Source organism: Homo sapiens, chromosome 19, assembly GCF_000001405.40.
Source record: "Homo sapiens chromosome 19, GRCh38.p14 Primary Assembly".
Taxonomy (NCBI): domain Eukaryota; kingdom Metazoa; phylum Chordata; class Mammalia; order Primates; family Hominidae; genus Homo; species Homo sapiens.
The window spans coordinates 32,851,817-32,875,155 of record NC_000019.10 but is presented as its reverse complement, the minus strand read 5'-3'; the positions used below and the strand labels follow the sequence as shown (position 1 = coordinate 32,875,155).

Here is a 23,339-nt window from a genome sequence, read left to right as displayed (position 1 = left end):
CTCACCACGCCCATCTAATTTTTTTTATTTTTAGTAGAGACAGGGTTTTGCCACGTTGGCCAGGCTAGTCTCAAACTCCTGACCTCAAGTGATCCGCCCACCTCAGCCTCCCAAGGTGCTGGGATTACAGGCATGAGCCACCATCCCCAGCCTCAGGCTCGGCTCTTTTCCTCATTTTTGACTAGGGGTGGACTGGGTAGGAGGGTTTTGGAGAGAAAGAAGAAGGGCGGCTTTTGTAGTTGATATTCACCTGCAGGGCCCCGCTGGGCTGCTTTGCAGGCCCAATGTCTGCAAACAACAGGACAGAGGTAGTGAGGACCCAGGCTGGGCTATGGAGACTTCAAACCTACGGAGCGCATGAGGCTGCTTCCTGGAACTGGGCATGCCACCTGCTACTGAGGACCCAGGCTGGCTCCCCGCGTCTGTGCTGGGTGCTCTGGGCCGCCATCCCCTTGTTCCACAGTCCACCCGTGTGTCAGCACTCTACAGAGGGTATAGATGAGACAGGGAGAGTGCACTGAGGTGACAGCATTGCTGCCTTGGGTCATCAGGAGCCTGGAGCATCTATTTCACCTGGTCAGGAGGGTCCTGAGTATTTTATTAAAGAATAATTCTTTGAAAGTGAAGGGTCTGTGTGTAGTATATGTAGCATACCAGGGCTGGGTTGCAAGCAACAGAACTATACTGCCCAATGTTAAGGGAAAGAAGGAAATATTTTGGAAATGTACACTCTGTGGCTTCCACCATGTTTTGAGAAGGACAGAAGCTGGAATAGCCTTGGGGTGAGGGTCTCAGTAGTTGAACACCGTCAGCCTACCCTGTGCTTCACTCAGGTAGCAAATCCTGGGAGACAATGGCCTCTTGGCTGACCTGACATCCTGAGCCCTCCTGTGTGGCCAGAGAAGTGAGGTCTTTTGGTTGGTAGCCCACCAGTGTCCCACAGAAAGGGACAGTTCCCCCCAAGTTGTGGATGCTGGGCAGACAGAAACAAGATTACAAAAAATGGTAACTTCCTATGTTAGAGTCTCCATCTGTCACCCAGACTGGAGTCCAGTGGCACGATCGTAGCTCACTGCAGCCTTGAACTCCTGGACTCAAGCAGTCCTCCTGCCCCAGCCTCCCAAGAGTAGCTGGGACTATAGGTGCACACCATCATGCCTGGATAATATTTTTAAATTCTTTTCGTAAAGACAGGCGCTCGCTATGTTGCCCAGGTTGGTCTCAAACTCCTGGCCTCAAACAGTCTCCCTGCCTCGGCCTCACAAAGTGCTGAGATTACAGGCGCACAGCCACAGCACCCGGCCCCCAAAATAGTAACTCTTTATTAAAGATGTTTGATGACACAGAACCCTCTTTCCCCAAAATCAGCAGCGATCACAACTTTCATCATGTGTGGCCACCGTGGTTGAGAAAAGAGGCAGCGACCATGAATCGTGACGAGGTCGGTGGGGAAGGGAGCAGGATGGGAAGTCGTGTTTTGACAGCATGCTGCAACTGTCTTCCCCACGCAGGTTATTTAATGCAAAACCATATTACTTGGAACACATAAAAATGATGGACAAAGTTCGAAGGCAGAATTGTACTATTCCAATAGTTGTTGGATATATATAGATTGTTCCTAGATAAGAGTTTTGAAATTATGTTTATGCTTTCCTTGCTAATTGTTTTATGGCTAGACAGCACGTCCCTGACATCGAAAGGCTTTGCACATCGCTAACTCATCACAAGTTCTTCTGGTTGGAATTCAGGTAGTAAGGGAACAAACAACTCTTCTATCTGTGGTAGTATGCCAGTTATTTCTGTCTTTTGGGTCCCCCTCCAAATCCCCAACTGCTACCGTCAGCAGCAGTGGGAAGGAATACAAGACCGAGTGAACTTAATGAATAGGAGAAGGTGAAAACTTGAAGGCAGGTCTGGAACAAGCTTTCAGCGGTAAAGGAAGATTCAGCCTCTGCCTGAATGTTTGCCCAAGACCTTGCCTCTGTCACGAGGACAGTGAATTAGAGAACAAGGCACCCAGCTGGGCAGCCCAGAGGCTGTGCAGAAATGGACTGACACTATGGGATTAAAGACGTCTTTAAAACCATCACAGGAGGCCAGGTGCAATGGCTTACGCCTGTAATCTCAGCACTTTGAGAGGCTGAAATGGGAGGATCACTTGAGCCCAAGAGGTCAAGGCTGGAGTGAGCCATGATCACGCCATTGCACTCTAGCATGGGAGCAAGAGACCCTGTCTCAGACACAAACCATCACAGGAGAAGGAAATGTTGGGGCTCAGGACACACCACCCCCAAAATATGACTGTAGGAGACTAGATATATATCACCCCAAATTATACTTCTTTGGAATATTTTGAGCTGGTTATTCTGAGAAACTGCAGACACAACAGGTGTAGCTCTGAAAAGCTGCCCTTTGCAAAAGAAATGTATGTCATGAAGGAAATCTACATTAGTACAAGTATCTGTACCAGGAAGAGACAACTTTTATTACCTGAGAGACTTATATCTGCATAACAAGACGACCTTTATTCGCCATGCATTTCCTCCCCTCACCATCCCATTACTAGTCCCTACCTGCCCCAGAAGCCCCAAGCCCCTAATCCTTATATAGCTCAGGATGCTATATAGGGTTTAGTCATCTGGCCCTTCTTCAAGTCTCTTGTTTTGTGGGACTCAGTTGCATATACACATAATTAAAACAGTTTTCCTCCCATTAGTCTCAATTCGAAGCCCAACCAAAGAACCCAAAAGGGTGGAGAGAAGCATTTTACCCTCCCCAACTGAAATCAAATGTGCACCAAATATAAGATAAAATGTAGATGGTGTGAAGATCTTCACACTGCAAGCATTTTTGCAATCGGAAGGGAAAAAGCACGGGTTGAAAATGAAGGTCAAGAGTCTTTAGCAGAAACTTAAGAAATAGAGTGGTTGGGCGGGTGTGGTGGCTCACACCTGTAATCCCAGCACTTTGGGAGGCTGAAGCGGGTGGATTACTTGAGGTCAGGAGTTCAAGATCAGCCTGGCCAACATGATGAAACCCTGTCTCTACTAAAAATACAAAAATTAGCCGGGTATATTGTCACACATGTAGTACCAGCTACTCGGGAGGCTGAGGGAGGAGAATCGCTTGAACCTGGGAGGCGGAGGTTGCAGTGAGCTGAGATCATGACACTGCACTCCAGCCTGGGTGACACAGCAAGTCTCAAAAATAAATAAATAAAATGGTAAAAATGACAGTAGGATTTGCGCTTTGGGAGGCCGAGGCAGGTGGATCACTTGAGGTCAGGAGTTCAAGACCAACCTGGCCAACATGGTGAAACCCCATCTCTACTAAAAATACAAAAATTAGCCAGGCATGGTGGTGGATGCCTGTAATCCCAGCTACTCAGGAGGCTGAGACAGGAGAATCACTTGAACCCAGGAGGCAGAGGTTGCAGTGAGCTGAGATCGTGCCACTGCACTCCAGCCTGGGCGACAGAGTGAGGCTCCATCTAAAAAAAAAAAAATTGACAGCAGGGAGGTGAAACTTCAGTCACATGGCAGAAGCACTGGATACACAATGAACCAATGGTCTTCAAGAACTGAGGAAAATTTTGCTTTTTAAATGAAATCCGTATTATTTTCCATGAGGAAGAGCTTATGAGAATTACTTGAATACTTTCTGTGTATTCAAGGGAGGGAGAGGGTGGGACTGCGGTGAAAAACACAACTTTAAGAAACAGGCTTAAGAAATGCTCACCGTGGACCCAAAATGAACTGAAGTGGAGGTTTCTGACTTAACAAAGGACCCTCACATCCCGATGTTCCAGACTCGGCACTTGGAAGAGGCCCAGGAAGACCAGAGGGCTGGTCCCGGACATTCATGGAACATGCAAGTTCAGTGTGTTCCGTGAGGAGGCGCCTGTTGCTCGCCCTGCGTCGCAGGTTCAGACCCTGATCCTGGCAGTGCTGCCTGAGCCCATGTGGGTAGTGGGTGAGGTTGCAGGGCTGTCTGGCCCCAGCGGGGGACCACTGCCCCACCCTGATGTCCTCACGTGGTCTCCTGTCAGCCTGCCAGGAGCACTTTTGACCCAGGGGGTATTCTGTGGTGTTTTGCAAACATGGATGTGCCAGGTACTATGATGAGTGCTGCAACATTAGGAGGAGTGACCCCAGCAAGCCGGTGGGCAGGTTCTGTCTAGGGTGGCAGGACCTGCCACTAGCCTCTCTGCTCAGGGCTCTGGGCATGGCAGGCAGGTAAACAGGTGGGCCCTCCCAAGATGGGAGGTGACGAACTTCTAAATCAGGACCGTGCCTCTGGGACAACAAGGGTCCCTGTGCTCTGCAGACGGCTTTCAGAGAAACCTGTGCCTCTCTCAGGTCTGCTTGCCCCAAACTGCTCCCAAACTGACCCCCAGAGACTGGCCCAGCTCCTTCCATCCCTGACCTTTGCTTCCATCTGATATCTGGGATGCAGTTAAGTTTGGCCCAAGGCAAAGCTACCAGAGTTTTGGCTGAAGGTAACAGCTACGATGCTTCAGATGCAGTGCTTATGCTGTGCCAGGCTGTCTCATAAGGTCTCATAAGGTGCTTCCTTCCCTATCTGAAAGGGCTTCGTGCTGACCCCTGAGGCTGCCGCCTGAGCCTAGGTCCAATCGCAGTGCGGGAGAACCTCTGCTCCCTCCCAGAGAGATCCAGACCCTGGCAGCCCTGGATGCGGACCGGAGCTTCCTGGCCTTGTGTTGCCTGTCCCCCTCCGTTTCCCCGAAGGGGAAGGTTTTGTGTCCCTTGTGATGAGCCAGGACATGGCTACGTGAACAGCACCACAGCCAAACCTGATGGGCATTTGGCCGCAGCTGCAGGGAGGACACGAGGCCCTGCATTGCCTCAGGCCTGCTTGTGATTCCAAGTGGTGAAGCCCCATCACTGGTAAAGAGGAGTGGGACGGGCTCAGCCGCTCTCACCTGCTCAGCCAGAGGCAGGCCCTTGGCTTGGGGGAAATTCCTGGGCGGGGAGGAAACTGACCAACAGCTGAGTTACGCACACACAGCGGTTCCTGTTTGAGCTGCCTGACTTGGGTTTTAAATATAGCCTATTAAGGCAATTAGCGAATTGGTTCCAAAGTTTATCTCCTCTGATTCCCAAAGATAAAAGAAGGCATAATTTATTTTATCTTTAGGTAAAAAGTGTAGACGATTTGGGACCATCTGGTTTTAAAAAAATAATCTGACCTAGACACAAATGAACAAAACAAAAACGGTTTTGGAGAGAAATTGGTGTTCCTGACCCTCCCCTTTTTTGTGTGGCGTATCTAAGCTTCATTGCAAAAAAAAAAAAAAAGGTGTTTAATAATTACCCTTATTGACCTCTGTACCTTCTGGACTTCCTTTGCTCCTGGGCACAAGACATGGCCATTTCTAGGGTTGGACCGTGCAGGCACGGGCGGTCAGCTGGGCCGCAGCTCCTCCGGCTCTGCAGGGTCACGGAGGAAGGTAAGTAAGGTCAGTAGGTGATAGAAAGGCTCATGGCTCTCCTGGCCGGGGCCTGGACAGATAATTTATTTAGAGAGAGGGTACAGGAGTGCATGGTTTTCTCCTAGTTCAGTCTGGAACTGGGTTTCCTCGGCAATGTTTTCTTTCCTTTCATCACTCAATGAAAAAGTACCTGGCCAGGCGTGGTGGCTCACCCCTGAAATCCCAGCCCTTTGGGAGGCCGAGGTGGAAGGACTGCTTGAGGCCAGCCGGGGCAAATAGCAACACTCCCGTCTTTATAAAAAATATTGTAAAAATTTAAAAAGTACAAAGAAAAAGTACCTGTATTGTGGATCTGTGATGTATGGGAGTGCCTTTAATCTTGGGAAGGAATTATAAGACAGACACTCCTTACCTGGACTTGATTCTGATAAATACATTCCACAATATTTTCATTTTTTAATTTTTTATATATATATTTTTTGAAACAGAATCTCGCTCTGTGGCCCAGGCTGGAGTGCAGTGGCATGATCTTGGCTCACTGCAGCCTCTGCCTCCAGGGTTCAAGTGCTTCTCTTGCCTCAGCCTCCCGAGTAGCTGGGATTAACAGGCACCCACCACCACACCCAGCTAATTTTTTTTTTTTTTTTTTTGCATTTTTAGTAGAGACGGGGTTCGCCATGTTAGCCAGGCTGGTCTCAAACTCCTGGGCTCAAGTGATCCACCCACCTCGGCCTCCGAAAGTGCTGGGATTACAGACCTGAGCCACTGTGCCCAGCCCGGGATGTTGTTAAATATTTCTTTTTACTTTTGAAAAAAAATGAAGTTGACCATAGAGGTAGAATGACTTTCAAGGCACAGGCACGTGGGCCAGGAGGCTCCCGGGGCCTGTCTGGGAGAGAGCTAAGCAAGCAGCTGAGCTTTGGAGAGCAGCGGGGAGCTGTGTTCCCCTGCCTGGACAATGTTAATGACTGACTTTGACTCTGGGGCCCAGCGCATGAGCCCTGAGGGACTGGCAGCGGCCCCCACCTGCAGCAATAACCAACACTGTGCTTTTGCAGCCAGCTCCCCTAGTCCAGGCCGAGCTTGCACTTGCGTCTTGTCTGCTGCTGCTGAACCAAGATTTAGCTGTGCGCCCTCCTTGCAGTCTCCTGGAACCAGCAGGAGGAAACATGGGGGATACTGGCCTGAGAAAGCGGAGAGAGGATGAGAAGTCGATCCAGAGCCAAGAGCCTAAGACCACCAGTCTCCAAAAGGAGGTAAGGCGGTCTCTGGTGGGGCAGGCCCTTTGCAGGTTAGGCAAGGGCGTCTGAACGAGGGGCGCAGGCAGTGAAATCCGGGCCGATCCCTAGTGACACGGCAGAAGATGTACTCTTTGATTTGTGAAGTACATCTTTAAAGGGATAATCTCTGGACTTACTTCTCTTTCCCTCTCGCCAGGGAATTCTGCATCTTCTTTTTTTTTTTTTTTTTTTTGAGATGGAGTGTTGCTCTGTCACCCAGGCTAGAGTGCAGTGCTGCCATCTCGGCTCAATGCAACCTTCACCTCCCCGGTTCAAGGGATTCTTCTGACTCAGCCTCCCGAGTAGCTGGGATTACAAGCACCCGCCACCATACCCGGCTAATTTTTGTATTTTTAGTAGAGACAGGGTTTCACCATGTTGGCCAGGCTGGTCTCAGACTCTTGGCCTCAGGTGATCCTCCCAAAGTGCTGGGATTACAGGCGTGTGCCACTGCACTCGGCTGCATATTCTTTTTTTTTTTTTTTTTTTTTTTTGAGACAGAGTCTTGCTCTGTCACCCAGGCTGGAGTGCAGTGGTATGATCTCAGCTCACTGCAACCTCCGCTTCCTGGGTTCAAGCAGCTCCTGAGTAGCTGGGACTACAGGCATGTGCCACTACGCCTGGCTAATTTTTGTATTTTCAGTAGAGACGAGGTTTCACCATATTGGCCAGGCTGGTCTCCAATTCCTGGCCTCAAGTGATCCGCCCACCTCGGCCTCCCAAAGTGTTGGGATTACAGGCATGAGCCAACTTGCCCGGCCCGCATATTATTTTAAGTTCATAAATAGGTGCTTTTGTGTGTTGAGCAAGTGTCTAGACGGGCCAGTATTTTTGTTCAAACTAATGGCCTTTCCAGGAATGGTCAGAAAGGGCGTTCTTTTTAAAAATTTTTAAAAAAATTTTTTTAGAGTCAGGGTCTTACTCTGTCACCCAGGCTGGAGTGCAGTGGTGCAATCATAGCTCACTGCAGCGTCAACCTCCTGGACTCAAGCAATCCTCCTGCCTCAGCCTCCTGAGTAGCTGGGACTACAGGAGCACACCACCATGCTCTGCCAAATTTTTAACTTTTCAAAAAAATTCTTTCTGTAGAGTCAGTATCTTGCTGTGTTGCCCAGGCTGGTCTGGAACTCCCGGGCTCAAGCGATCCTCCCACCTCAGGCTCCCAAAGTGCTGGGATTATAGGCGTGAGTCGCTGTGCCCAGCCAGAGAGGGCGTTCTGATGGTTGAGTCCCCTCTAAATGCCTGTCCTCCTTATATCTGAATGGCTGTAGTGATGGGAAGTACTGCCCCCAGCATAGCCTGTTCTGTCTTAGAGGCATCTACCAGGGACAGCTGCTCTGAGTTGGGCTGCAGTGAGCAGCTGGGGCTGGCCCTGGGCCTGCAGGGAAAGGGAGCTTGGGGCTGGGGGGAAGGCAGAAAGGAGCTCAACACAGCACACTGCGCCAGTCCCAGGCAGTTGGGAGCAGCAGGTGCTGAGCATGGAGGCGCAGGGAGGGCTTCAGGCTCCTAGGATGAGGAAAGGCAGCTCCAGGTGAGCTCAGGATGGCTTCCGCTTCCAGGGCAGAGGTGTGGGCAGGGCCTCCGAGAGCTCCCATGCCTGGCAGCAGAGGGGATGGAGGAGGGACGGCACCAAGGCTTTAGGGCTTGACCGGAGGGCTGGCAATGGCCTGAATGGCTTGGCCTGGGACCCCCAGGAGGTAGACGATGGGCTGCAGCACTTTCCCTCTCTGCCAGTCTCAGGCCTGATCTCAGGAAGGGCCTCTTAGAACCCTGGTGGGCCCCAGTGGCCACAGAGCACAGCTGAGAAATCCCCAAGATGTGTCTTCTGAGCTGGGGACAGGTGTGGCGGCACACGCCTGTAACCTTAGCACTTTGGGAGGCTGAGGTGGGAGGATCCCTTGAGCCCAGGAGATCGAGGCTGCAGTGAGTCATGATCGCGCCATTGCACTCCAAGCCTGGGTGACAGAGCGAGACCCTGACTCTAAAAACCAAAAATCTGAGCTGGGTCTACTCCTCAGTCAGGCAGCTTCAGGGCGAATGCAGACCTCACCCACATCAGAACCCAGGCAGTCCCTCAGCAGGAGGGAGGATTCTGGAGCCAAACTGCCAGTCCTGGGCAGGGCTGAGATGAGGAGGAGAGCTGAGCCCATCCCCGCCCTGTCCTGGAAGTGCGCCCTGGCCCTGAAAGCAGACGCTGCTCCCCAGGGATCCCACTGGTGTGTGCAGAGTCCTCAGGGTGGCAGCCTGCAGCTGGGAGCCCCTCATCCCCTGCGATCTGACTCCAAGCCCAGCTTCTTCCCAGACAGGTGAACATGGGTGCTGGAAACTTCAGGCTCTGGAGATCTGGCCGGGGCTGCTTCTGAGGACGAGTGTTATGAGTAGGGCTTGAGTTGGACTTTTTTTTCCTCCTTGATTGGTGTGTAATTTACATACAGTGTAATGTGCAGGTTTTTTTTTTTTTTTTTGAGACAGTCTCACTGTCACCCAGGCTGGAGTGATTGTAGTGGCTCACTGCAACCTCTGCCTCATGGGTTCAAGAGATTCTCCTGCCTCAGCCTCCTAAGTAGCTAGGAACAGGTGTGCACCAAAATGCCTGGCTGATTTTTGTATTTTTTAGTAGAAACGGGGTTTCTCCATGCTGGCCAGGCTGGTCTCCCACTCCCAACCTCAGGTGATCCGCCTGCCTCGGCCTCCCAAAGTGCTGGGATTACAGGCATAAACCACTGCACCTGGTCGAAATGTACAGCTCTTTAGTGCTGAGTTTGGTGAGTTTTGACAGATGTACCACCCCAGAAAGCTCCCTCGTGCCCCTTTCTAGGCAGGGCCCCAGCCCTGAATTCCTGTGGCTGTGGATTAGTTTCACCTGTTCTTGAACTTCACAGGCATGGAACCATCTGGTGTCTCTTTGAGCTGGGTTCTGTTCTCAGAAAGCTCCCATCCTAGCAAATGGCACTGGGCCAGGCACGGCGGCTTACGCCTGCAATCCCAGCACTTTGGGAGGCTGAGTTGGGAGGATTGTTTGAGCCCAGGAGTTCGAGGCTGCAGTGAGCCATGATCTCACCTCTGTGCTCCAGCCTGGGTGACAGAGAGAGATCTGACTCTAAATAAATAAGTAAATAAAAATAAGATAAAAGAAAATGGCACCACAGAAAGTTCAGAGTGCCCAAATGTTTCTGTTTCTGGGAGGCCTCCGTTGCTCACCCTGCATGGAGCCTCTGGCCAGGACTCTAGGCTCAGAGGCGTATCCCGAGGGCCTTTCTTATTGGTGAGCTGTTGCCAAGTCAGCCTTTTCATTGAGGGCACAGGATCACGGTTAGGCACGTGGAACCTGAGCCAGGTTTCCCCCTCTCTAGCTGTAAACCCCGGACAGCCTCCTAATCTTTCTGTGCCTCAGCGTCCTCCTCTGTCCATGGGGGTGACACAGTGTGGCCAGCTCGCGGGGCTGTCACGATAATTAATCACGTTAACATAAGCAAAGCTCCGGGAGCGGTGCCCCGGTGTTGCCAGGGCAGCCGCTCAGGGTGGAAGCGCCTGGGACATGGGCTTTGGCTGGGGCCGCCCTGGCCGTACCGAGGGAGGGTGGCACCTGGCCTTCTGGGCTGGGTCCGGGCGTGGCACTAACGCCCTCTTCCTTCCTCCACACCCAGCTGGGCCTCATCAGTGGCATCTCCATCATCGTGGGCACCATCATTGGCTCTGGGATCTTCGTTTCCCCCAAGTCTGTGCTCAGCAACACGGAAGCTGTGGGGCCCTGCCTCATCATATGGGCGGCTTGCGGGGTCCTCGCGACGCTGGGTAAAGAGACTTGGGAGCCTGTTGCAGCCCCGGAAGCATGCAGGGGCACGCCAGGCAGCTGCTACCTGTGCCAGCCCTCACCCTGCCAGTATCCCTCTTGGCACATGTATGGCAAACAGGTGTAAATCAGGCTGGACTGAATGTCCAACGCTGGAGCTCAGGGCCGTCCAGCGAGGGCGGACCACGGTGGGCCCCTCCATACGAGCGCAGCCTCCGGTGGGAGGAAGGCTCCCTGGGGCCGGGGCAGTGCCTCACAAGGGGCCTGTGGGCCCTTCCTCTCTGTGTTCCAGGTGCCCTGTGCTTTGCGGAGCTTGGCACAATGATCACCAAGTCAGGGGGAGAGTATCCCTACCTGATGGAGGCCTACGGGCCCATCCCCGCCTACCTCTTCTCCTGGGCCAGCCTGATCGTCATTAAGCCCACGTCCTTCGCCATCATCTGCCTCAGCTTCTCCGAGTATGTGTGTGCGCCCTTCTATGTGGGCTGCAAGCCTCCTCAAATCGTTGTGAAATGCCTGGCCGCCGCCGCCATCTGTGAGTACCTGAGCCCAGGGCAGGGGTCAGAAAAGACCTGGCACAGAGGGTGTCTGGGGACTCCGCCCTCAGCTCCTCCCCAGTGAGTCTCTGGTGAGAGCCCAGGCAGGGCCTGGCATCAGCCTTTGCAGTACCTGTGGGTGCTGCACACTGGGGACCCCCAGGCCCGTGGGGGCTGCAGGGAGGGGTGCCGCTGGCTGTCCTGCAGGGCAGAGCCTTGGCTCAGGGCCCAGCTTCTCCTGGCGTGGTGGCAGGTGCCTGTAATCCCAGCTACTCGGGAGGCTGCTTACCACGCCCTGATAATTTTTCGCCATCTGAGGCAGCCCGGCTAAGGTCATCTCCAGGTTCTTTTAAAAGGTCCTTAAACTCCCATGTTTGGATCTGCCCTCTTGGAATTTGGGAGATGATATGGTGGCTGGTGGGGGAGTAGGGGTGGGCCGCAGGCAGTGGCTCATGCTTGGAATCTCACCACTTTGGGAGGCTGAGGTGGGAGGATCGCTTGAGGCCAAGAGTTTGAGATCAGCCTGGTCAACACAGTGAGAACCTTGACTCTACAAACAATCAAAACATTAGCCGGGTATGGTGGCATGCACCTGGCGTCCCAGCTACGTGGGAGGCTGAGGAGGGGGGATCACTTGAGCCTTGGACCCTATCTCAAAAAATAAAAGAGGCTAGGTGCAGTGGCCCACACCTGTAATCCTAGCACTTTGGGAGACCAAGGTGGAGGGATTACATGAGGTCACGAGTTCGAGACCAGCCTGGCCAACGTGGCAAAACCCTGTTTCTACTAAAATACAAAAATTAGCAGGGCGGGGGAGGGGGGTGGTGGGGTAGTGCATGCCTGTAATCCCAGCTACTGGGGAGACTGAGGCAGGAGAATTCCTTGAACCCGGGAGGTGGAGGTTGCATTTAGCTGAGACTGTGCCATTGCACTCCAGCCTGGACGACAGAGTGAGACTCCATCTCAAATAAATAAATAGATAAAAATAAAATTACAAAAATTGGATATGAGGGCGATCTGGCAGGGACATCTGTCACCCCACTGATCGCCAGGGTTGATTCAGGTGATCTGGCTGGCTAGGCCAGTGTCCTCTTCCTCCCTCACTGCTCCACGTGCATCCCTCCCGAAGCTGCGCACTCGGTGGAAAAGGATGACCATCCCCGATAGAGGAGGGCTGGTCTTCGGTCAAGGGTATATGAGTAGCTGCGCTCCCCCGCTAGAACCTCCAGACAAGCTCTCTACTAAAAATACAAAAATTAGCTGGGCATAGTGGCGTGCACCTGTCGTCCTAGCTACTCAGGAGGCTGAGGCAGGAGAATTGCTTGAACCGGGGAGGCAAAGATTGCTGAGATCGTGAGCTGAGATCATGCCACTGCTCTCCAGCCTGGGTGACAGAGTGAGACTCCATCTCAAAAAAAAAAAAAAATAAAAAATATATAAAAGAAAGGAGACTCTCTCCAGGGCTTTGCTGAAAACCATAAATGCAGAAACTGTCCCCACCCTTCCAGTGTTCATCTCGACAGTGAACTCACTGAGCGTGCGGCTGGGAAGCTACGTCCAGAACATCTTCACCGCGGCCAAGCTGGTGATCGTGGCCATCATCATCATCAGCGGGCTGGTGCTCCTGGCCCAAGGTGACCCACGGGAGGGTGGGCCCTGCACGGGCACACACCAAACGCCCTTCCACTGGGAGCAGGAGCAGCCTTGCCCCACGAGCCCATCTCCAAGGAAGCATGGCAGGAACTCGGTGGGAGGGATCCTTAGTTTCAGGGCGTGTTTATTAAGCTGGGGTCACAATCATGCCCATCTTTCCCGTGGAGATACACTCAAGATCTGCCCGGTTGACACCCGCCGTTCACTGTCTGGCTTCATTACAGGAAACACAAAGAATTTTGATAATTCTTTCGAGGGCGCCCAGCTGTCTGTGGGAGCCATCAGCCTGGCGTTTTACAATGGACTCTGGGCCTATGATGGATGGTGAGGTGTCCTGAGATGTCCCGAGTCTGGGGGTGGGTGGGGTTCTCCAGGTGACTTTAACTCCACCTGTCATGGAAAACAATGAGTTCTCCTTTCTGGGGTTTGGTGTGACTCTGACATTCACCCTCACATTTCCTTTTTGTGAAGGATGCGACAACCTCTCCCCTTTATTCCCTGAGACACCTGCTCAGTCAGCCAGAGTGCTCTGTGTAGAACCCTCACTGGGCCAACACAGGCTCAGCCAAATCAGAGGCAGCCAGGGCCCAAGCTCAGGTTTTCTGTTTTGTTTTGTTTTGTTTTTTTAAGACAGGATCTCACTTGGTCACCCAGGCTGGAGTGCAATGGCGTGATCATAGCTCACTGCAGCCTTGAGCTCCTGGGCTCAAGTCAGCTTCCCGCCTCAGCCTCCTGAGTAGCTGGGACTACAGATAGGAGCTGCCATGCCCTGATAATTTTTTATTTTTATGCTTTGTAGAGACAGTCTCTCTGTGTTGCCCAAGCTGCTCTCAAACTCCTACACTCAAGCAATTCTCTCTCCTCGGCCTCCCAAAGTGCTGGGTTTACAGGCGTGAGCCACTGCGCCCAGCCCCAAGCTCTTGATTAAACAAAGAATACTCAATAGCACTTCTATTTAACCTTGAAAATCATTAGGTTTGGGAGCCTCTCTGAATCTATTATGGTTTGGGGGACTGCCCTACAAAAATAAATAATACCATATAAATTTTATATATTTATCGAGTTTAGTGGATGAGATTCTGTTTTTGTCCTTTTTTTTCTTTTTTTTTTGAGACGGAGTCTCACTCTATTACCCAGGCTGGAGTGCTGTGGTGAGATCTCGGCTCACTGCAATTGCTTGAATCCCCCAGGTTCAAGCAATTCTCCTGCCTCAGCCTCCCGACTAGCTGGGATTACAGGCACCTGCCACCATGCAGGGCTAATTTTTGTATTTTTAGTAGAGACGAGGTTTTACCATGTTGGCCAGGCTAGTCTTGAACTCCTGACTTCAAGTGATCTGCCCACCTCGGCTTCTCAAAGTGCTGGGATTACAGACGTGCGCCACTATGCCTGGCCCATTTTTGTCCTTTAAGGAAGAAGCATGGCCATCTGCAACGATGGTCCTTCTCTCCTGCAAAGCATTTATAGATTTAATTCCCTTTTCAGACAAAGAATATTCCATTTTTTCAAAGCACCCTGGGGACTCACTACTCCTGATTATTCTTGAAAATCCGTGTGATTCCCGAGGAGGGCAAAGGCTCAACCAGCTGACAGATGTGTAGGTCTGGGTAGGGCCCCAGGCCCCACCACTAGCAGGGCCATTCACCTGGAAAAAAATTCACCTGGAATTCCTGCAGGAGAATTTTTTTCTCTGGTAGAGAATCTTAAATGAGGCCAACATTTATTATTGTGGGTTTCATTATCGAAAAAGAAAGTCAAGGTGTGTGACGCTTGTTACTTTCCTTTTTCCAGGAATCAACTCAATTACATCACAGAAGAACTTAGAAACCCTTACAGGTAACAGCTGAATCAGTGCAGAGGACAGTAGCCGGGCAGCCTGATTTCTCTTCTCCTGGTGAAGGCTGGAGCTATTTCCCTGGGTATTCCATGATGCCCTTCCCGACAGTGAATTATTTCTTTTTTTTTTTTTTTGAGACAGAGTCTTGCTCTGTTGCCTAGGCTGGAGTGCAGTGGTGCAATCTCAGCTCACTCATTTTTGTATTTTTTTAGTAGAGATGAGATTTTGCCATGTTGGCCAGGCTGGTCTTGAACTCCCAACCTCAAGAGATTCGCCCATCTCGGCCTCCCAAAGTGCTGGGATTACAGGTGTGAGCCACTGCACCCGGCCAGCGAATGGTTTCTTATGAGCTCACTATGCACGCTTAGAGTTTGGTTTGGTTTGGGACAGAGCAGTGGCTCCTAAGGGAGGGAAGAGCTTGGTCTTCCTTTATCTCTGGCTTATTTTGCTTTATAAACAGTTCCATGTGAACTGCTCTGGAGTCTGAGAGAGGCAGCATTCTCATTTGAAAATGTCTTATGTTCCTGCTGGGCCTCTGCTACCTGCGAATCTTCTCCCTGGGAGGGCCTCAGGGAGGGCGTCCATCTTCCGCGGGAGGCTGTGGTCTGAACGTGGGTCTCCGTGTCATTGCCCCTCCCAGAAACCTGCCTTTGGCCATTATCATCGGGATCCCCCTGGTGACGGCGTGCTACATCCTCATGAACGTGTCCTACTTCACCGTGATGACTGCCACCGAACTCCTGCAGTCCCAGGCGGTGGCTGTGGTGAGTGCCCGGGCATCGCTGCTGGCGGGGGCTGTGGCTTGTGGGAAGGGGTAAGGCAGGTGTCAGCACTGGAGGTGAGCTCCCTCCCAGGGAAGGAGGGCGATATTCACGGACGGGGACATGGACTGGGCACGCACGGCATGGAGCTGGAGGCAGGGCCGGGCTAGCCAGGGTGAGGGTTCGGCAGGCAAGCATGAAGCAGAGGCAGAAAGTGCCAGGGAGTCGGGGGAGGTCATTATATTAGGTCATTATATATTAAAAAATATATATATTTTTGGCAAAACTGGCAATTACTTTTGCACCACCCTAAATAATAATGAATCATAGAAGGTGAGAGGTGAGAGGCATTGGGGTCAGTGAAGAGGTGGCTGGGGGCCTCCTGCAGTTGCAAACAGACAACCACGTGTTGGGGATTTGGAAGGTGGAGGAGACGCAGTTTGGATAAGTGTTGAGGTCACTGACCACAAGACTGGGGGCTGCTGAGGTGGGAGGGAGAATTCAGCCATTCCGGTTGGAGTGGGGGTTCAGGGAAGTGAGAGGTGAAGGTGTCAGGATATTGAAATGACCAAGAATTACGCAGCTGGGTGTGGTGGCGAGTGCCTGTGGTCTCAGCTACTTAGAAGACTGAGGCAAGGATCACTTGAGCCCAGGAGATTGAGGCTACAGTGAGACGTGATCACGCCACTACACTCCAGCCTGGGCGACAGAGCAAGATCCTGTCTCCAAAAAAAATCAAATTAAAAAATAAAGATTTGGCCAGGCATGGTGGCTCATGCCTGTAATCCCAGCACTTTGGGAGGCCGAGATGGGTGGATCGCAAGGTCAGGAGATTGAGACCAGCCTGGCCAACGTGGTGAAATCCCGTCTCTACTAAAAATACAAAAATTAGCTGAATGTGGTGGCATGCGCCTGTAATCCCAGCTACTTGGGAGGCTGAGGCACGAGCATCGCTTGACCCTGGGAGGCAGAGGTTGCAGTGAGCCGAGACAGCAACATTGCACTCCAGCCTGGGCAATAAGAGCAAAGCTCCATCTCAGAAATAAATAAATAAATAAATAAATAAATAAATAAAGATTTATGCCAGGGAGTAGTAGATAAGAGACTTCTCTTGCCATCACAATATCTGGAGATAGGCGAGTGGCGTTCTCCTCTCTCCTCTGCAGTGGAGGAGTCAGAGGCTGTGCCCCGAGGCGAGGTGGGTCCCTGGGTCCCCTGGGAGGCCAGAATAGCTTTTGGGGGCCGGCCGCTCTTGGAGGCCAAGAAAGACCCTCAGGACTCATCTCGCTTCTCTCACCAGACATTTGGTGACCGTGTTCTCTATCCTGCTTCTTGGATCGTTCCACTTTTTGTGGCATTTTCAACCATCGGTGCTGCTAACGGGACCTGCTTCACAGCGGGCAGGTAGGGGACCCCCACCGTCACTCCCAGGGTGGACAGGGGCGGCGAAAGCAATATCACCCCCGAGGAAGACACACAGCTAAAATCCTCAGGGTTCTGCCAGGCGAAACCCACGCCAGTACAAGTAGGAGACCCAAATCCAGAGAAGGGATGTAGCTTGAACCCACACCGCAAACTGGCCAGGAAGGCATGGATGGGCCTGCACACGGGAATTGATCAAGGCTGCCTGGAATCTCAGCCTTTCCACTCCAGGGGGCCCTAGTTCCCAACATGGGGGGGAAGCTGCCCATGCTGAGGCGAAGGGAAGCGACACCGCGTGAATGAGGCACTGGTTTTCCACGTGGCACTTTTTACCTTTTCACCTAGTGATATTTTTCACATAGTGATATTTCCTGAACATCTTCCCCATGTTAATATATACAAACTAATTTGCTAATTAGCAAATTAATAAATAACCCAGAATTGGCTAACTTTCCCTTAAAGGGCCAGATGGTAAATATTCCAGGCTCGCAGGCTGCATAAACCTCTGTCACAGATTCTCAACTCTGCCTTGGTACCCAAGAGTGAACAGCCATGGTCATGTTCCAATAAAACTTTATTTGCCCAAACAGCTGTGGTTTGCCAATCCTTTAGACCCATCTGGTCTAGAGACTGCCACCAGCTGTGTTGTATCACACTTTCAGATGTAGCATAACTTAACAAATCCTTCACTCACACCTGGGTGTGGGTGGTTTCCATGAACGTTGCCGCAGTGAACATCCTCGAACACGTGTCTTGGCTTAGTTGTCCAGTGTTCTGAATGGATATATTTCAGAGTGAAATTGACAAAGTCTGTGTATGTTAAAAAATGAAATACCATAAAATCATTCTTCTAAAGCCAAACCGAAATACATGTAGTGCTAGGCCTCCAACTTCATTCTTTGTCAAAAGCGTTTTGGCTAGATCCTTTGTATTTCTTTATAAATTTTAAATTTAAATTTTAATTAACTAATTAATTTTGAGGCAAGGTCTCACTCTGTCGCCCAGGCTGGAGCACACTGGCATGATCTTGGCTCACTGTAGCCTCTACCTCCTGGGCTCAAGCAATCCTCCCTCCTCAGCCTCTGGAATAGCTGGGACCACAGGCACGTGCCATCACACCCAGCTAACTTTTGTATTCTTAGTCAAGATGGGGTTTCACCATGTTGCCCAGGCCCATTTCGAACTCCTGGCTCAAGTGATCCTCCTGCCTCCACTTCCCAAAGCCCTGGAATTACAGGCATGAGCTATCGTGCCCAGCCTTATATTATTTTTGAGATGGAGTCTTGCTCTGTCACCCAGGCTGGAGTGCAGTGGTGTGATCTCGCCTCACTGCAGTCTCCGCCTCCCTAGTTCAAGCAATTTTCTGCCTCAGCCTCTGGAGTAGCTGGGATTACAGGCACCTGCCATCATGCCTGGCTAATTTTTGTATTTTTAGTAGAGACGGAGTTTCACCATCTTGGCCAAGCTGGTCTTGAACTCCTGACCTCGTGATCCACCTGCCTCAGCCTCCCAAAGTGTTGGGATTACAGGTGTGAGCCACCACACCCGGCCGCCTTATTTTAAATTGACAAATAATAATTGCTTATATGGGCTGAGGCAGGAGGATTGCTTGAGGCCAGGAGTTCGAGACTAGTCTGGGCCACATGGTGAGACTCCGTCTCTACAAAAAGAAATTTAAAAATTAGCTGGGTGTAGAGGCCCATGCCTGTAGTTCCAGAAGCCCAGAAGTTCCAGGCTGCAGTGGGCCACGATCACACCACTGCACTCCTGCCTGGGTAACAGAGTAAGACCCTGCCTCTAAAAAATAACAACAATAATTGCATATATGTATGTGGTACAGTGTGATGTTTCAATACATGTAAACATTGTGGAATGGCATATGTATCACCTCACATACTTCTTTATGCTGAGAACATTAAAAATTCACTGGCTGGGCATGGTGGCTCACGCCTGTAATCCCAGCACTTTGGGAGGCCGAGGCGGGCAGATCACGAGGTCAGGAGATCGAGACCATCTTGCCTAACATGGTGAAACCCTATCTCTACTAAAATTACCAAAAATTAGCTGTGCGTGGTGGCGGGCGCCTGTAGTCCTAGCTACTTGGGAGGCTGAGGAAGGAGAATGGCGTGAACCCAGGAGGCAGAGCTTACAGTGAGCCAAGATCACGCCACTGCACTCCAGCCTGGGCAACAGAGCAAGACTCCGTCTCAGAAAAAAAAAAAAAAACCACTAGCTATTTTGAAATATACACTATTACTAACAATAGTCACCTTGCTGTGCAGTAGATCACCAGAGCTTATTCCTCCCATCATACTGAAACTCTGTAGCCTTTGACCAACATTTCCCCTTTTGCCATCCCAGGCCCCTCTTCCTTCAGCCTCTGGTAACCAGCATTCTACTCTCTATTGCTATGTTTGAATTTTTAGATTTCATGTATGTTGCAGATGATTACAACTATCTGGGCTGGTGGTACAGGGATAAGAAGAATTTACCAAGACAGCTGTAGGTCAGGAAAGGCAGATTTATTACAGAAAGTAGGAAAATACATTGCAAGGGTGCAATGAGCAGGTCAGCAAGAGAGGAACTGACTGCAAAGAGACAAAGGCTTGCTGGGGATTTTGTAGGATGGTGCTTGTGCTGTGTGCTGGACAGGGGTACGTGCAGTACTGATAATGCCAAGGTTGCAGTGAGCTAACTTGCATTTTTCTATTTTTTTTTTTGAGACGGAGTCTTGCTCTGTCACCCAGGCTGGAGTGCAGTGGCATGATCTCGGCTCACTGCAAGCTCCACCTCCCAGGTTCACGCCATTCTCCTGCCTCAGCCTCCTGAGTAGCTGGGACTACAGGTGCCTGCCATCACGCCCGGCTAATTTTTTTTTGTATTTTTAGTAGAGATGGGGTTTCACCGTGTTTGCCAGGATGGTCTTGATCTCCTGACCTCGTGATCCGCCCGCCTTGGCCTCCCAAAGTGCTGGGATTACAGGCGTGAGCCACCGCGCCCGGCTGCATTTTTCTATTAGCTGAGGGACTGGCGATCACTGGGCACAGGAAGCTTGTAAGTTATTTGTGCAGGGGGGCTATGTGTCCTGGACCATGAAGAAAGGCGGGCTTGTAGCTTATCTGTCTTATCTCTTTTGGCTTTCCCTTGGTCCCACCAGCCTGACTCATTTTCCCTAATTAGGACTCCATAATACATAAGGGAGATCATGGGATATTTGTCTTTCTGTGTCTGGCTTATTTCACTTAGCATAATGTTCTCTAGAGTCATCTCTGTTGTCAAAAGATGACAGAATTCCATTCTCTTTAGAGTCGGAATAGTATTCCATTGTGTATCTATTACATTATTTTTATTCATTCATCTGTGATGGACACTTAGGTTGTGTCCATGTCTTGGCTGTGGTGAATAACGTTGTAATGAACATGGGAGTGCAGACACCTGACATGTGGATTTCAATTCATTCAAATATATACCCAGAGGTACATAGGAGTGCAGGTATCTGGCATATGATTTCAATTCATTCAAATATATACCCAAGGCCAGGTGCAGTGGCTCACGCCTGTAATCCCAGCACTTTGGGAGGCCGAGGTGGGTGGATCACATGAGGTCAGGAGTTCGAGACCAAACTGGCCAACATGGTGAAACCCTGTCTCTACTAAAAATACAAAAATTAGTGGGGCATGGTGGCAGATGCCTGTAATTCCAGCTACTCAGGAGGCTGAGGCAGGAGAATTGCTTGACCCGGGAAGCAGAGGTTGCAGTGAGCCGAGATCGCACCAGTGCACTCCAGCCTGGGCGACACAGTGAGATACTCCGTCTCAAAAACAACAACAACAAAAAATCATTGCCCAGACCAATGTTACAGAGCTTGCCTGTTTTCTCCTAGGAATTTTACAGTTTCAAGTCTTATATCCATTTTGAGTAGATTTCTTGTCTAAGGGGTGAGATAAGGGTCCAATTTCATTCTGGCAGCTTTCCCACTTGCATATGAATATTACAATCAGCTTGCCAGTTTCTATAGTAAAGCTGTTGGGATTTTGATCAGGACTGGGTTGAATCCATAGATCAACTGGGGGAAGACTCTGCTGTCTTAAAAGTACTGAGTCTTCCAGCATGGGTACGGTGGCTCACACCTGTAATCAAAGCACTTTGGGAGGCCGAGGGGGAGGACTGCTTGAGCCCATGGGTTAGAGACCAGCCTAGGCAACATAGTGAGACCCCATGTCTACAAAAAGTACAATAGACTTAGCCAGGCATGGTGGCACATGCCTGTGGTCCCAGCTACTCAGGAGACTGAGGTGGGAGGATCGTGTGAGCCCAGGAGGTCGAGGCTGCAGTGAGCTGAGATTGCACCACTGCACTGCACTCCAGCCTGGGAGACAGAGTGAGACCTTGTCTCCAAAAAAAAAAAAAATACTGAGTCTTCCAATCCATGGGTGGACTATTTAGGTCTTTAATCTTGTTTTAACAACTTTTTTGTTTGTTGGTGTTTTTTTTTTTTTTTTTTTGAGACAGGATCTTGCTTTGTCACCCAGGCTGGAATGCAGTGACACGATCCTGGCTCACTGCAACATCTGCCTCCCAGGTTCAAGCGATTCTCATGCCTCAGCCTCCCAAGTAGCTGGGATTACAGGCATATACCATCACACCTGGCTAATTTTTGTATTTTTAGTAGAGACAGGGTTTCACCATGTTGCCCAGGTTGGTCTTAAACTCCTGGCCTCAAGTGATCCACCTGCCTCAGCCTCCCAAAGTGTTGGGATTACAGGCGTGAGCCACTGGGCCTGGCTTAATTTTCTGTAAAAAAAAGTTTTTTGAGTAGTTTTTGGTATATAGTTCTTGCACATCTTTTGTCAAATTTATTCCAAAGAATTTCATTTTTCATACTATTGTAAATGGTACTGTTAAAAAAAAGTTGCTTAATTTTTAGTTTCTGATAGTTTATTGCTAGTATACACAAACACAATTTTAACAGTTCTAATTAAGGTACAAATATAAAACTCACCCTTTGTAATTATACAACTCAATTATTTTCATAAATTTATAAGGCTGTACAAACATCACAATCCAATTCTAGATCATTTCCATCACCCCAAAAAGTTTCCTCATTGCCTAATTAATCCCTGCTTTCACCCGCAGCTCCAGGCAACCACTAATCTACTTCTGTCTCTATAACTGCTTTTTCTTGACATTTCATCTAAATGGAATGACATGGGCCAGGCGTGGTGGCTCACGCCTGTAATCCCAGCACTTTGGAAGGCCGAAGTGGGTGGATCACTTAAAGTCAGGAGTTCAAGACCAGCCTGGCCAACATGGTGAAACCCTGTCTCTACTAAAAGTACAAAAATTAGCCGGACGTGGTGGGCGCCTATAATCCCAGCTACTCAGGAGGCTGAGGCAGGAGAATGGCTTGAACCTGGGGGACGGAGGTTGCAGTGAGCCGAGATTGCACCATTGCACTCCAGCCTGGGTGACAGAGCGAGACTCCGTCTCTCAAAAAAAAAAAAAAAAAAAAAAAAGTTTATAGCTTTGGTCTTGTAAAATCTGGCAGGACTAACGCTCCCACGTCAGACTTCTCCTTGTCTGTTTAGCATTCCCTATACACTTAGAATTATTTTGTCCGGTTCCAAAAGTACTGCTTGCATTCTGATTTTATGGAATTTCTATATTAATTTCTGGAGGACTGATAAAAAGATTTGACAGTATTCACCTTGTGTCTAAATCTCCCTTCCATTAATCAACTCCCATCCTCCTGGTTTCACTTCTTTTGGGAATTAATATCAAGTTCATATCAATTCAAAGTTAAGATATGTAGTTGTAAATAGATGGGTCTTTGTGGCATTTGTATTGACTTCTAATTTTACTGCACTGTAATTAGAGTATGTGACCTTTATGATATCAAGTCTTGATTTAGGGTTTTTGTTCGTCGTTTTGAGACAGGGTCTCGCTGTCGCCCAGGCTGGAGTGTGGTGGTGCAATCATGGCTCACTGCAGCCTCAGACCCCTCCCTGTGCTTAAGTGATCCTCCCACCTCAGCCTCTCAAGTAGCTGGGACCACAGGCACGTGCCACCATGCATGGCTAATATTAAGTTTTTTGTAGATGTGAGGTCTTACTATGTTGCCCAAGCTGGTCTCAAACTCCCGGCCTCAAGCAATCCACCCACTTCAACCTCCCAAAGTGCTGGGATTACAGGTGTAAGGCACAGTGGCTGGCCTGATATCAATTCTTCTTTTTTTTTAATTTTATTATTATTACACTTTAAGTTTTAGGGTACATGTGCACAATGTGCAGGTTTGTTACATATGTATACATGTGCCATGTTGGTGTGCTGCACCCATTAACTCGTCATTTTAACGTTAGGTATATCTCCTAATGCTATCCCTCCCCGCTCCCCCCACCCCACAACAGTCCCCGGAGTGTGATGTTCCCCTTCCTGTGTCCATGTGTTCTCATTGTTCAATTCCCACCTATGAGTGAGAACATGCGGTGTTTGGTTTTTTGTCCTTGCAATAGTTTGCTGAGAATGATGGTTTCCAGTTTCATCCATGTCCCTACAAAGGACATGAACTCATCATTTTTTATGGCTACATAGTATTCCATGGTGTA

The 23,339-nt window shown here is 50.1% G+C and overlaps 1 protein-coding gene and 1 pseudogene across 6 annotated transcripts in view, besides 3 other annotated features; both read left to right on the top strand.

Annotated features, from left to right (window-relative positions):
• Positions 4,039-4,561: an enhancer, noted in NCBI's record as "H3K4me1 hESC enhancer chr19:33361501-33362023 (GRCh37/hg19 assembly coordinates)". NCBI's record gives its function as "activates a minimal SCP1, AML or CMV promoter by ChIP-STARR-seq in primed H9 embryonic stem cells {active_cell/tissue: H9 hESC(primed)}" and the evidence as "EXISTENCE:reporter gene assay evidence [ECO:0000049][PMID:30033119]".
• Positions 4,562-5,084: an enhancer, noted in NCBI's record as "H3K4me1 hESC enhancer chr19:33360978-33361500 (GRCh37/hg19 assembly coordinates)". NCBI's record gives its function as "activates a minimal SCP1, AML or CMV promoter by ChIP-STARR-seq in naive and primed H9 embryonic stem cells {active_cell/tissue: H9 hESC(naive and primed)}" and the evidence as "EXISTENCE:reporter gene assay evidence [ECO:0000049][PMID:30033119]".
• The window catches only part of SLC7A9 (solute carrier family 7 member 9), a 39,257-nt gene continuing 21,306 nt past the window's right edge, over positions 5,389-23,339 (top strand). Inside the window, exons 1-9 of one of the 6 annotated variants that reach the window (NM_001126335.2) lie at positions 5,389-5,470; positions 6,597-6,708; positions 10,380-10,527; positions 10,818-11,060; positions 12,570-12,695; positions 12,939-13,038; positions 14,506-14,550; positions 15,192-15,315; positions 16,613-16,716. In NM_001126335.2, coding sequence (NP_001119807.1) covers positions 6,622-6,708; positions 10,380-10,527; positions 10,818-11,060; positions 12,570-12,695; positions 12,939-13,038; positions 14,506-14,550; positions 15,192-15,315; positions 16,613-16,716 — 977 coding nt within the window. In that variant the 5' untranslated portion in view covers positions 5,389-5,470; positions 6,597-6,621. Of the gene's footprint in view, positions 5,480-6,510; positions 6,709-10,379; positions 10,528-10,817; positions 11,061-12,569; positions 12,696-12,938; positions 13,039-14,505; positions 14,551-15,191; positions 15,316-16,612; positions 16,717-23,339 lie in introns of those variants that run through there. The other 5 variants (NM_014270.5, XM_011526402.4, NM_001243036.2 and 2 more) reach the window with 5 other exon arrangements.
• Positions 6,526-7,101: an enhancer, noted in NCBI's record as "H3K27ac-H3K4me1 hESC enhancer chr19:33358961-33359536 (GRCh37/hg19 assembly coordinates)". NCBI's record gives its function as "activates a minimal SCP1, AML or CMV promoter by ChIP-STARR-seq in primed H9 embryonic stem cells {active_cell/tissue: H9 hESC(primed)}" and the evidence as "EXISTENCE:reporter gene assay evidence [ECO:0000049][PMID:30033119]".
• RN7SKP22 (RN7SK pseudogene 22) lies at positions 12,064-12,356 on the top strand (annotated as a pseudogene).